The sequence below is a fragment of the Homo sapiens genome, chromosome 3 (assembly GCF_000001405.40).
Source record: "Homo sapiens chromosome 3, GRCh38.p14 Primary Assembly".
In the NCBI taxonomy this organism is placed as follows: domain Eukaryota; kingdom Metazoa; phylum Chordata; class Mammalia; order Primates; family Hominidae; genus Homo; species Homo sapiens.
In genome coordinates this window covers 17,143,786-17,156,397 of record NC_000003.12, presented here as the reverse complement: position 1 = coordinate 17,156,397, position 12,612 = coordinate 17,143,786, and the positions used below count along the sequence as shown (strand labels likewise).

General features: G+C 49.8%; 8 annotated features.

Annotated features, from left to right (window-relative positions):
• Window positions 2,866–3,037: a silencer, noted in NCBI's record as "fragment chr3:17194853-17195024 (GRCh37/hg19 assembly coordinates)". NCBI's record gives its function as "represses an EF-1alpha promoter that drives an FKBP-Casp9 reporter gene in an ReSE screen in HepG2 liver carcinoma cells {active_cell/tissue: HepG2}" and the evidence as "EXISTENCE:reporter gene assay evidence [ECO:0000049][PMID:32094911]".
• Window positions 4,392–4,893: an enhancer, noted in NCBI's record as "H3K4me1 hESC enhancer chr3:17192997-17193498 (GRCh37/hg19 assembly coordinates)". NCBI's record gives its function as "activates a minimal SCP1, AML or CMV promoter by ChIP-STARR-seq in naive H9 embryonic stem cells {active_cell/tissue: H9 hESC(naive)}" and the evidence as "EXISTENCE:reporter gene assay evidence [ECO:0000049][PMID:30033119]".
• Window positions 4,424–4,593: an enhancer, noted in NCBI's record as "active region_19566". NCBI's record gives its function as "activates an Ori minimal core promoter by ATAC-STARR-seq in GM12878 lymphoblastoid cells {active_cell/tissue: GM12878}" and the evidence as "EXISTENCE:reporter gene assay evidence [ECO:0000049][PMID:35858748]".
• Window positions 4,794–4,853: an enhancer, noted in NCBI's record as "active region_19565". NCBI's record gives its function as "activates an Ori minimal core promoter by ATAC-STARR-seq in GM12878 lymphoblastoid cells {active_cell/tissue: GM12878}" and the evidence as "EXISTENCE:reporter gene assay evidence [ECO:0000049][PMID:35858748]".
• Window positions 4,894–4,973: an enhancer, noted in NCBI's record as "active region_19564". NCBI's record gives its function as "activates an Ori minimal core promoter by ATAC-STARR-seq in GM12878 lymphoblastoid cells {active_cell/tissue: GM12878}" and the evidence as "EXISTENCE:reporter gene assay evidence [ECO:0000049][PMID:35858748]".
• Window positions 7,314–7,483: an enhancer, noted in NCBI's record as "experimental_66731 CRE fragment used in MPRA reporter constructs". NCBI's record gives its function as "activates a minimal promoter by MPRAs in K562 erythroleukemia cells, with activity observed for the introgressed 3:17190492 or rs4685436 variant allele {active_cell/tissue: K562}" and the evidence as "EXISTENCE:reporter gene assay evidence [ECO:0000049][PMID:34662402]".
• Window position 7,398: a transcriptional cis regulatory region, noted in NCBI's record as "Neanderthal adaptively introgressed variant 3:17190492 (GRCh37/hg19 assembly coordinates) or rs4685436 in the experimental_66731 CRE". NCBI's record gives its function as "modulates activity of the experimental_66731 enhancer by MPRAs in K562 erythroleukemia cells {active_cell/tissue: K562}" and the evidence as "EXISTENCE:reporter gene assay evidence [ECO:0000049][PMID:34662402]".
• Window positions 11,947–12,241: a silencer, noted in NCBI's record as "tiled region #1226; HepG2 Repressive non-DNase unmatched - State 23:Low, and K562 Repressive non-DNase unmatched - State 22:ReprW". NCBI's record gives its function as "represses a minimal TATA promoter and a strong SV40 promoter by Sharpr-MPRA in HepG2 and K562 cells {active_cell/tissue: HepG2 | K562}" and the evidence as "EXISTENCE:reporter gene assay evidence [ECO:0000049][PMID:27701403]".

Genomic DNA, 12,612 nt, shown 5'->3' with positions numbered 1-12,612 from the left:
TCTCTAGCCTGGGCCTCTGTCCCCAACCCAGCTAGCAAGTAGCTTTTCCTCTTGTGGGGCACAGCCCCTCCCCACAGGTTCTACCATCAAAAGGTTGGAGGGCCTGGTACACTCCTCAAATGGATCTTGCTAGTGAGGGTGACCCCAGCTTCCTCAGACCAGTGACAGCCACACATGCACTGGCATCCCCCTCTGGCCTCCAGGAGTCTCACCCATGTCCCTTGGGCGTGACTGCTTCAGTGCTTCTGAAACCTCCTCCTGCCCTCCCTGCACCTCTCCACCTGAGGCTGAGCTCCTGGCCCTAGAAAGTTGCTAGCAAGTGTGAGGGAATGACATCTCCTGGGAGCAGCTCTCAGTCAAAGGCTGAGGAGTCAGTGCATAACAACCCAGGCCCCTAGCTCCTGGGTGGAGGCACCCTGATGTGAGTGCTGGTGGCTTCCCTGCAGGGTTAAGCTCCAGTTGCTCTTGAATCTTTTCTCAGGGTCAGCTTCTTGGGGGAATTCAAGCTAAGACACCCTAGACACCCTTCTTCCTGAGCCCCTTCTCCAGGCAGAAGGGTTGTCCCTGGCTCACCCCCTACCAAGGCCAGGGGTGAGTGGGAAGAGAGTGCAGGTTGTTAGGTGGGCCCAGAGTCCTCACAGATGAGGGTGGTGCTGAGAGGCTGCTGCCCCGGCGTCTATGGTTCTTCGAGGGCCAGGGCAGGCCCTCTGTGTGAGTTCTTGCTCCCAGGCCTGCCGAGTTGCCCCCTCTCACAAGTGAACATTACCCACGGCTAATCAGGCCCTGCTGGAGGAGCTACTGACGCGCCATTTCATTTAGTAGTTTGCCTCTGCCACAGCCAGCATTCTTAGCCTTTTAAGGACATGTGTATGTCACCAGTAACTTCTGTGCTCTGAGCAGCGTACCTGTTGGTGAGAGGGGACAGATGACACCGACCCAGAGAGATGACACCGACCCAGAGGATCCATGCAACATTGGGCCACTTGTTCCTCCAGCAGATGTGATTGGACACCTTCAAAGTGTGAGGCTGTACAGGTGCTGGGGACACACAAAATGCCCCTCAGATTGCCGGGAGTGGCTGGAAGAGACATGTTTCTATATTAGGAACAAACAACAACAACAACGACAAAATTAAATACTAAGGTAGCCCAGAAGAAATCCTCTATGCAGCCTGGGAGGGGTGCCAGGAGACCACAGAGGTGAGTGGGGTGAGCGGGGCCCAGCGTGAGCCTGCCGTCCAGCCCTCTGCGGTGAGCGGTGGAGCACTCCCACTTCCTGCTCAGCAAATGGTAGAAACCGAGCTGAGGGGTGGACTTACAGCAGCCAGGCAGTTGCATTTTCCCACGGGCACTTGCAGTAATGGGGATGGCCCCTCAGGAAGGACTTGATGCTGCCCAGCCATTCAGTGATAGCTAACAGAGACTGCATAGGCTGTGCCAGCTGGGGAGCCCCGGAAGGGTCCCGAGGGCATGCCACCGACCCATCATCTGGGATGTAGCTCCAGCAGCTGCCTGGCAGCAGGAGCCCCTCCCATGTGTCAGACCCAGAAAAGTTAAGGGATATTTAACAAGGTGTAAGTATAACTGAAAGGGTCATGGGGCTGCAGCAGATGTCACCCCCAGTCCCCCACAGTGTGCTGTGAAGGGCAGGACAACCAACAAAGGCCATGTTGTAAAGAGATCGTCATTCACTGCCTTTCTGACAACATGCTTGGCCCTCAACATCCCTACCTCCTGCCCTCAGCTCTGCCCCTGGTCCTGAGCTACCCAGCTGTCAATGCCAGGGCCCAGTGGTCCATGCACAGCTTCCTGGCCCTTGGACCATCCCACAGCTTGGTCAGACCCTGCCTTATCCCACCACAGAGAAGGCCTCATTCCCACTTTCAGGTCTGGCCAGTGGCCTTGTTCCTTCGACTCCAGCTCACCTCGTCACCCCCTCACCTGGAAGCAGATACCACCAAGAGTCCCTCCGAGCCCTCAGGATGACAGGTGGTTCCTTGACCACCGCAGCCCCACTGGCGTCCCTCCTGCCCAAGGCTGCACACCTGCCCTTTCCTCTGCCCACAACACCTCTCCCTGCCCTCCAGGTTACAGGGGTGAATGCCAGCTTCAGTGGCCAACCTGCTCTTTGGTGAGGCTCCACCAGAATCCTGCACATTGAACTGCTCCTGAAGTCCCGTTGTTATATTCCGCTTTGTGTCACACAGCAACAATTTATTATGTTTGTGGGTTGTGTGGGGCAGGGATTCAGGTAGGGCACAGTGGGGATGATTTGTCACTGGTACCCCTGTCACATCTGGGTCTTTGGAAGACTCGAAGGCTGGTCTTTGTGATGTCCAGTGGTTGATGCTGGGACCTTAGCTTGGGCTGTCAGCCAGAGCACCTACATGCAGCCTGTGCTTTTTTGCAGCATGGTGGCTGGGATCCAAGAACGAGTGTCTGAGGGGAAGGCAGGTAGGTGGAAGCCATTTCACCTTTTATGACTGGCCTCAGAAGGCACACAGCATCAATTCTGCCACATTCTATTCATCAAGGTAGTCACAAGCCCACGCAGATTCAAGGGGAGTGAAAATCGATAGCACTTATTGATGGGGAGGGTAATGTTCCAGAAGCACATGTGGGACTGGAAGTGCTGCGGCCACTTTTGGAGACTATAATCTGCCATGCTCATTGCAGGCTTCTGCAGGGTAGCAGGAGTGAGACCTCAGTCATCCGGTGGTAGACTAAGGCACTCCAGCCATTCTGGGGAGCTTACAGGCCCCATCCAAACCCTGCAGTATGTGTAGCTGCTCACTCCTCTCCCCCAGGAAACCTTAGATATGTTTTTTAAGCACACCCCAAAACTCTTTGACACCGGTCCCATGAAGAGGCCCTTGAATCTTGGCTCTGTGACTTCTCAACCAGTAGACTATGGAGGACATGATGCGGCATCAGATGGGACTACTTCTTGTCTCTTGGTACATTCACACTTGGAACCTGGCCACCATGCTGCAAGGAAGCCCAAGCAGCAATGTGGAGAGCAGCCAACAGTCAATAACAGCTTACAATACCATCTCGGAAGTGGATCCTTTGGCCTCAATGACACTGTGCAGAGCAGAGACAAGGTATACCCACCAAACCCTTCCCAAAGTACAAAATTGTGAGCAAACTAAATGATTGTTTTAAGCTACTGAGTTTTGGGGAAGGTCGTTATGCAGCAGTGGCTATTTCCTGATAACTCTGACTAGCAGGATCCATCTCTTGTAAACTCTCCCATCTTAGGACTGTACACGTTCTCCAGGCCTTTGTCCTACACCTCCCTGCATTCTGCTGAATATATTCATGTCCAAGTCCAGATTCTGCATTTCTTATCTTGAAAAGAGGGACTCTGAGCCTTAGCTATTTATTTACCCATATTTATGAGCCTACCATGTGCCAAACACTGTGCTGGGGGCTGGAGACATGCAGTGAACAAGATGGATAAGATGCCTGTCCTCAGGGAGCTTGCAGTCCAGTGGGAGAGAAAGGCAATGCCCAGTGAATGAATGAGATAATTTCAGATGGGAAGGATGTGGCAGAGACCCTTCAGGAAGCCCCAGTTCCCTTTCCCCCTGGGGAGGGACACAACTAGACCAGCCTCCCTTGAAGGGACTGAGCTTGGGCCACTGGAGTGTGAGGGGTGAATATGAATATGTAGAGGAGGAGGAGATGAGTAGATGACTCTGGGAGCCCAGAACGGTGGGGTGGGGGAGAGCGCAGAAACCACCTCCTCCCCAGATCTTGAGGACCAGCCAGTCCCAGGTTTTTCCTAAACCTCTTTGTCATTCTTTGCTTTCATTCCCATAAACGTTGCCCCTCCCACAAACATCACCCCTGGGGAAAGAGTCATAATCAACTCTGATCAAATCCCAGGCTGCTTACAGGTTGGGGAAAGATAGAAGCCAGTGTCAACCAACCCCAGTTCATTCAGAGATGTTAGTGTCCATCAGACACCAGTGCCGTGAGCCCTGCCTGCCTGACTCCTCCCTCAAGGTGCCAGGGGTCCATCTATCCCGCTGTCAGCCAATCAAGAGGGGACTATGAGCAAGACAAGCAAGCTCCAGGAGCCTCCATTTCCCCGTCGTTAATATTGGGGGGTGGGGCTGGGGCAAATGCCTAGCTTGGCCACCTCGCAGGGGTGTTGCAAGGGTATTAAGCCTGTCAAACTCCAGGCCCTGGGTCTGGCTGTCACCTGCATTAACTCCTCCCAGTCTCCCCATGGGGGCCGGTGATGGGGAAGGCAAAGCCTTGGGCTGATGTGGCCACATGTGTGCAGACAGCCCAGAAGCTCTGCCCCTCAGGACTTTCCCTCCCCCAGCACCTGAATGGCAGGATTTGGGTGGCTTCTAACTCCTGGAGGTGACAAGCTCTGCATGATCGCAGCAGCCGCTGTGCTTCCATCTACCGTGCAGCACCAGCACCAGGGACCAAACTCACCCTGTCACAAGATATGGAGGCATGTTCCTGGGCATGTGTGTGACTCACCCAGTGTCGCAGCGGTGGTGCGTGGCAAGGCTGCCGCTGGGTTTCTGAGAATCCTGCACCTCAGAGATTCAGAGAAACTCAGACTTTCAGAGAAAGTCTGTCCTGTCCGCTGTCAGCAGAGGCGTTAACCACAGAGCTTGCAGTGGGAGCCCCGAGAACTAGCTCAGCAAGGCCAGGCAGAGTTCATCCTTCCTGTCCCTGAGCTGCTCTGGGGCTGGAGGCCTCATGAAGCAGAGCCAGATGTTAGCTCTGTCCCTGGTGGCAGTGTGGACGTGGCAGACAGGTGAGAGATGGGCCTGCTGGAGTCGAACTGGGGATCCACTTTACCGGATTCCATGGGAACAAAGCAGATACAGGCCTCATGTTATGACCCCTCCTGCGTAGGCTGGGTTTGGTCCCAGCTCGTCCAGGAGACAGTGGGTAGGCCCCACTCTCTCTGACACTCCATCTGAAAAATAAGGAGGCTGGGGTAGAGCTGGCTTTTTTTTTTTTTTTTTTTTTTTTGAGACGATTCTCGCTCTGTTGCCCAGGCTGGAGTGCAGTGGCACGATCTCAACTCACTGCAACCTCCACCTCCTGGGTTTCAAGCAATTCTCCCACCTCAGCTTCCCGAGTAGCTGAGATTACAGGTGCCCACCACCACACCCGGCTAATTTTTCTGTATTTTCAGTAGAGATGGGGTTTCACCATCTTGGCCAGGCTGGTCTTGAACTCCTGACCTCATGATCCACCCACCTTGGCCTCCCAAAGCGCTGGGATTATAGGCATGAGCCACCACGCCCAGCCGAGCAGGCACTTTTTTCAAACTTTTTTGACCAGACCCCACAGTAATAAATACATTTTATGATGAAATTTGACTGGCTTAAAAATATATTCCATGATATATTAAATAGGATTGTGTCTGCTGCTATATAACACACAGGTTCCAAAATGTCAGTTGCTTAAAACAAGAGAAGTCCATTTCTCACAGACATAAGTATCAAAGTGAGGCTTCCTGGTTTGTGTGTGACTCTCCTCCATGCAGTGATTCAGGGACCCAGCCACATTGAGGCTCCATCCTTTAGGACTTTCCCACCAATGTCAGAGACACTTTGACTAAGAAGTAAAGTGTCACTTTTAATCACATTCCACTGGGAAAGCAAGTCACCCAGCGGCCCACCTAGACACAAGGGCAGCCCCTTCCTAGGGACACACTGATACTATGGAGAGGAGTACAGCTTTGCTAGCCAGTCAGCTGCCTCTACCCCCATACCCTAACCCCTGAATACACACACCATACACACCCTGAAACAGAAGGCTCGTGAAACAAACATCCTCATACCGCATGCAATACCTTTCTCATTCTGATACCTCCTCCCCTATTTTATTTGATTCTATTTTACTTTCATAAGTGCTGGATGTGACCCACTAAATTAATCTCATGATCCACTAATGGGTCAATTCCTACAGCTTAAAGATTCAGATGATTCCTTAAAGAAGTGTCCATAATACTAACCAACTCTGAAGAGTGTATGGAGTTCAGTGGCCACATAGTTGATAAGCTTTTTTAGCTAAAAAGAGAACTGCTTGAAGCCATAGCTGTCACTCAGAGGAAGAAGCATGTAAGAAAAGTGGCTTTTAATGCAGAATAAATTGGAATATCCTCCTAATCTATGCAAAGACATAAGAACTGCTCAGGTGTCCAGGGGCAGAAGGCATTTGGGGTTGGGGGGTGGGGGGCAGCAGAAGGACAGTTTCTGAGGGACATGTTGGCTCCAGGCTCTTTTCTGGGAGGATTTGACAAGTGCTTTTCCCAGAATGCAGCCAATTTTGCACAAATTCCAGCCAGGTGGCAATGATCATTCACCAGAATGTAGGAGGAGGACCTAGAGTCTTGGCACCTGCTGTGAAAGATCCTCTATGTCCCCGGGTCTCCCTTCCTCTCCCACCTTGCCTCCCCCGGAAAGGTCCACTCGGCCGCATTCTTGTTGCTGATGTCCTCTGATCCCTGACAGGTCTGCAAAACACTTCTGGGCCTGGTACTCTTCTCTCAGAAACACCTGGGAAATAGCCCCATAACTTGTGACTCCGTTCATGATGTATGGCCCAAAGTGACATTGGGGACACTGACCCCTTTCTTTGAAGAGATGAATCAGACCTCAATAATAACCCAGACACTCCTGCATAAATCTAATTTCAAATATCCAACTAGGCCAGGTGCAGTGGCTCAGGCCTATAATCCCAGCACTTTGGGATAGGAGGATCGCTTGAGCCCAGGAGTTCAAGACCAGCCTGGCAACATAGTGAGATGCCATCTCTATAAAAAATTTAAAAATTAGCTAGGTGTGGTGGCAAGTGCGTGTAGTCCCAGCTACTCAGGAGGCTGAGGTGGAAGGATCACTTGAACTCAGGGAGGTTGAGGCTGCAGTGAGTCATGATTGCACCACTGCACTCCAGCCTGGGTGACAGAGATCCCATCTCAAAAAATAAACTCCAACTAATTTTGGCCCATGCATCACAATTTATACAGCTGTCCCTATTACAAACCCAGAGCAAGGAGTCTGCATGGAAAAGACGTGCAATGGGAGGAATGCAGGCTTGGGCAGCCAGTGGATCTGGGTGCAAGAAGGACCTCTGCCTTACACAAGCTACGTGCCCTTAAGCAACTTGCACAACGTCTCTGAACCTCCGTCCTCTTACCTGCAATTGGGGATGCATTAGGCAATCTCGTGCCTCTCAGGACAATCACTCGTGCCTCTCTGGACACGAGTGAGAAGTGGATGAGTGTACAGCCTGGCTAGTGGTGAGTGCCCGATAGACGCTGGTGTGTCCCATCCCCATGCAGAAAGGCCATAAAACTGTAGTCTGTCTCCAAGTATTTATAGTTAGTGATAGCCAAGGAGGCGGCACGGGTACGTCCTATGGCTTAGTGTACACTGGTCATATGGACACACACCCCTGGGTCCACATACACGCACTCAATAAATATTTATTGAGCATTTCAGACCCTGTTCTAGGCACTGGAGAAGCAGCAGTTTAAAAAAAAGAAAGAAAAGAAAGAAAGAAAGAAAGAAAAAGAAAGAAAGAAAGAAAGAAAGAAAGAAAGAAAGAAAAGAAAGAAAGAAAGAAAGAAAGAAAGAAAGAAAGAAAGAAAGAAGGAAGGAAGGAAGGAAGGAAGGAAGGAAGGAAGGAAGGAAGGAGAGAGAGAGAGAGAGATAGAGAGAGAAAGAAAGAAAGAAAGAAAGAAAACCCAGATACGTCCTTATGGAGCTGACAGTCTAGTGTCGCCATTCCTGCCTGTCACCTCCCTACCCAGCTCCTCTCCTCTCACAGCTGCTTCGAATCTGGGTCATTGGTTCAGGTAAATAAAAGAGTTCAGACAGAGCCATGATGAATACTAATTAGCATTATAATAATGAAAAGAGAACTGGGAAAAATTATTTTATAGGCCACAAAGATATATAATTATATTGTAACATTACGCATAAATGGAAGACTCACAATTGGAAGGGAACCATGGTAGATATAATTCAGAACACCAGATAATCCCAAAATTATTTCTATTGGCTGTCTTAGGCTTTAAAAAATGATTCAACTTTTTAATTTGAAATAATTTTACATGCACATAGAAGTTGCAAAGATAGTGTACAGAGAATTATCTTGTACCCTTCACCCAGCCTCCGCCAATGATAACATCTTACTTAGCCATAGTACCATTTTCAAGACCAGGAAATTGCTGCATTACTAGTTACTGTTAACCAAACTGAAGGCCTTACTGAGATTGTGCTGATTTTTACATGCACTCTTTGTTTTTTTTCTGGTGTTCTATGAAATTTTATCCCACGTATAGATTTGTATAGCCACCACCACAATCAAGATACAGAAAGTTCCATCACCACAAAGAAACTCCCTCATGTTCCCTCCTTATAGTCACAGCCTCCCTGCATGCCTAGCCCCTGGTAACCAGTGAACGGTTCTCCATCACTGTTATTTTGTCGCTTTGAGAATGTTATACAAGTGGAATTATGCAGCATGGAAACTTTAAGGATTGGCTTTTTTCACTTCATCTAATGCTCTTGAGATCCATCCAAGTTGTGTGTATCAAAATTCTTTCCCTTTCATGGCTTCACAGCATTCTACTATATGGAGGCACCGCAGTCGATGCTCACCCCACTGAAGAACATTTGGGTTGTTTGTAGTTTTTAGCTGTTACCAATAAAGCTGCTAAGAACATCTGTGTGCAGATTTTTACATGGCCTTTGATGCACGGAATCTATTACTATTTTTTTTTGAGACAGTTTCTCGCTCTGTCGCCCAGGCTGGAGTGTAGTGGCATAATCTCAGCTCACTACAACCTCCGCCTCCCGGGTTCAAGCAAGTCTCCTGCCTCCGCCTCCTGAGTAGTTGGGATTACAAGGGCACAACACCACACCCGGCTAATTTTTTTTGTATTTTTAGTAGAGATGGGGTTTCCCCATGTTGGCCAGGCTGGTCTCGAACTCCTGACTTCAAATGATCCACCCGCCTCAGGCTCCCAAAGTGCTGGGATTACAGGCATAAGCCACCACGCCCAGCCCGGAATCTATTTTTTATGCCCACTCTCAGCAAACAGATTTTCCTTATATTGCTCCAACCTCATGTGTGAGTCGTTACTTATCTGGATGTAATAGGTGGGGCAACGCAAATGCCTATAACACCACTGAGAGTCGGGAAGAAAGCAGAGAAGAACTTGAGTAGCAATGACAGGTGTGTAAATGTCACCAAGTCACTGCAGGAGGCCCATCAGCCATTGCTCTGTTATTTACATATATTTAACACACACTTAAAAGGTTTGGCCATAGCGTCTCCTTGTCCACAGCCATTCACATGGGGTGGAGATGGCCTTAGACAGCAGCTGACGTTACAACTGATAATATGACAGTGGAGGTGAGACTTAAAAACAGCCCTATAATGCTAGAAACTCGGGCCCATTCAGTGTAGGGTGAATAATCCAATTCACTTCAGTGGCTCAAGGGGCACCTCTTTTACTGCAGCAGAGCCACCTTTGTTCATAGTGGTTACCAGAGTTCTCTAGAGAAGACTGAATTATGATTAGTATGCTTCTCAGCAAGGCAACAACTGATTGTCAAGAGTGATTTCACCCCAAACTATTGAGAGTTACAGAAATCAAAATGCTTCAAGTAGTAAGCTCTAGCAAATTGACTTGAAGAATACCACATACTCTGAGGCCAAGTAAATTAGGTATCATTGTATTAATGATTCCTTTTAATGAACACATTCCAACCAAAGGCATACCAGGCCTACCTATGTTCCATGCCTATACACAGGGTAGACGCAGTGTATTAGTCTGTTTTCATACTTCTATAAAGAACTGCCTGAGACTGAGTAATTTATAAAGGAAGAGGTTTAATTGAGCCACAGTTCAGCAAGACTGGGGAGGCCTCAGGAAACTTACAATCATGGCAGAAGGTGAATGGGAAGCAAGGCTCCTTCCTCACAAGGCATCAGGAAGAAGTGCTGAGTGAAGGGGGAAGAGCCCCTTATGAAACCATCAGATCTCGTGAGAACTCACTGTCACGAGAACAGCCTGGAGGAAACCACCCCCATGATTCAATTACCTCCACCTGGTCTCTCCCTTGGCACGTGGGGATTATGGGGATTACAATTCAAGATGAGATGTGGGTGGGGACACAAAGCCTAACCATATCACACTGCTTGGGGTCAAACTTTTTACCCAAAGAGCATGGCTCTGAAGTCACACGTGCCCAGACACGATTCTCAGTGGGGTGACCTTGCTCAAGGCCTTCATCTCACTGAGCCCCTGTTTCTCCATCAGTAAAATAGGAGTTGCAGTTCCTCCTGCTAGGGTCATAAAGAGAGGGGAATAGGATGAAGGCTTGTGGCACATGCGGGTCTTAGGGAATGTTTATGTGAAAAACAACTTTCACGCGAGAACTTTTCCCTCGAGGCCGTTGCAACCCTTCTACCCTCCTCGACGACGGTATGTATGGGGCCAGTTCTCAGCCACCTTCTGCCTCAGCTTCCCCACTGTCCCTACTCCTATCTGAATCACATCCGCCATTCCCGGCCATTGTCAATCCCAGAGGCTGTGACTTGGTCGGCTCCTAGGCACTTGGGACAAGCTGGCTGGCTGGTAAGGAATTTGACTCCGGGCCTCTGGAGACCACCCCGGCTCCATTTTCCTATTCGCACCTCCCTCTCTCCGTATCCGCCAGCAAACAAGCAACCATCAGTCCTCTCTAGAGATTCGAGGGCTCCCGGGGCATCATCTATAAAGGCTGCAGCCTTTTCTGATGAAATTATCTTCCTTCAGGTGGCAACTTTAAACCTCCCCTTGGCAATCAGGAGCTGCTCACTGCACTCCAGACAGAAACCACTTAACTAGATTCAGGGGGCAAATGTCTTCTTTGTGAGTCTGGCTCAGTTCCTCAGTCTACCTGAGCAGGAAAATGTGGCACCCCATGTGCTGTTTCTTAATGCTGACCAGGAACCTCTCCTGCCTACTGGAGGGGATATGGGTTTGTAAGAGAGTCCTGCTGTGGGAGAAGCTCGGCTCAGACCAAAGGTGGTGAGGTCAGAGGGACACAGGCTTCTGGTCTCGCCACCAACCACTGGTGTGATCAGGGTAAAAGTCCTGTGACCCCAGTGGGGCCTCAGTTTCTTCATCTGCAATAGGATGACAAGACCCTCTCCTAGGACTGTGGTGGGAAATAACAAAGATGGTTGATGTAAGGGCTCTGTATAGGGTCATCATACCGGGGCCAGCAGCAAGGGAATGCGGGACACATTCTTCTCATGGTGAGGGCAGCTGTGCAAGAGATCGATCCCATCTGTGCACACATCCCAGGCCTCTGCATGCATCACATCTGTTAACTCCTGTTGGCCAAAGCAAGTCCTATGGTTGAGCCCAGAGACAGGGGTGGAGCGGGAGGCACACCAGCCCACAGAGCGGCAACCGCAAACTCCGATCCTACGACTAGGGAGGGAGTGAAGAGCTAGAAACGCACCCTCATTGGCCAAGGATGGTGTATAGTTAGGCTGGGATTTGCAACCTGCATTCTCTTGGAGGACACGGCCCACACTGTTTCACCTCCACATAATTACCCTGTGGTGACTCAAATTGAGAATGAGTCTCAACCTTTTTACTTACAGGAAAGAGAGTCTTTCATCAACATCCATCTATAATTTGCCTTAAGTTGTTTTCCCAGCCAGGAAAGGCCTATTTTGCAAGCATTTATTGGCTAGGGCTGTGAGTGTTTTTCATGTATTAACTCATTTAATCCTCACAACAGCCCTATGAGGCAGGTACTGTTGTTTTCCCATTTTAGAGAAGAGAAAGTTGAGGCTCAGAGGGATTAAATAATTTCCGTAGGGTCTCATAGTGCGTAAGTTCCCAGAGATGGGATCTGAACCCAGGCTGGCTCTCTCTCCTCTCCAGAACCTGCACTCTCGCCACCGTGCTTACCCATCAGAGACCCTGGGACCATGGCAATGTGAAAGACTCTGGCAGCGCCCAGGCCACGGGGAAAGCCCCTCCTCTCTCCCACCCACAGTGACATTTCCATCCCCAGATGGCTTAGAGATTCCAGAAGACTCCACTGCTGACAACCATCACTGCTTTTGCAGACATCGCCTCCTTTAGTCCCTACAGCTGCTGTGATATTCATTTTAAAGACAAAAGCCTGTGGGAGGGAGTCATCACTGTGAGCTCCTGATGCAGCTGGGAGTGGAGTCCCAGGGGCTGAGGAGGGAAGAAGGGAGACCTGTAGCCCTGGCTCAGGTAGATGGGGACCCTGGGCCCTGAGGCTGTGGAAAGACGTTGGGGTATCCCGGAGAGAAAGGCAGGAGGCCACGTCTCTGCAGACAGCACCAAAATGGGGCCAGCTTTCCTCACACACCCCAGCTTTCCTCATGGGGTATGGATTAGTCTGTTCTCACACTGCTGTAAAGAAACACCTGAGTATGGGTAATTTTTAATTTATTTTTTATTGTTTTCAAGACAGAGTCTCACTCTGTCACTCAGGCTGGAATGCAGTGGTGTGATCTTGGCTCACTGCAACGTCTGCCTCCCCAGTTCAAGTAATTCTCATGCCTCAGCCTTCCCAGTAGC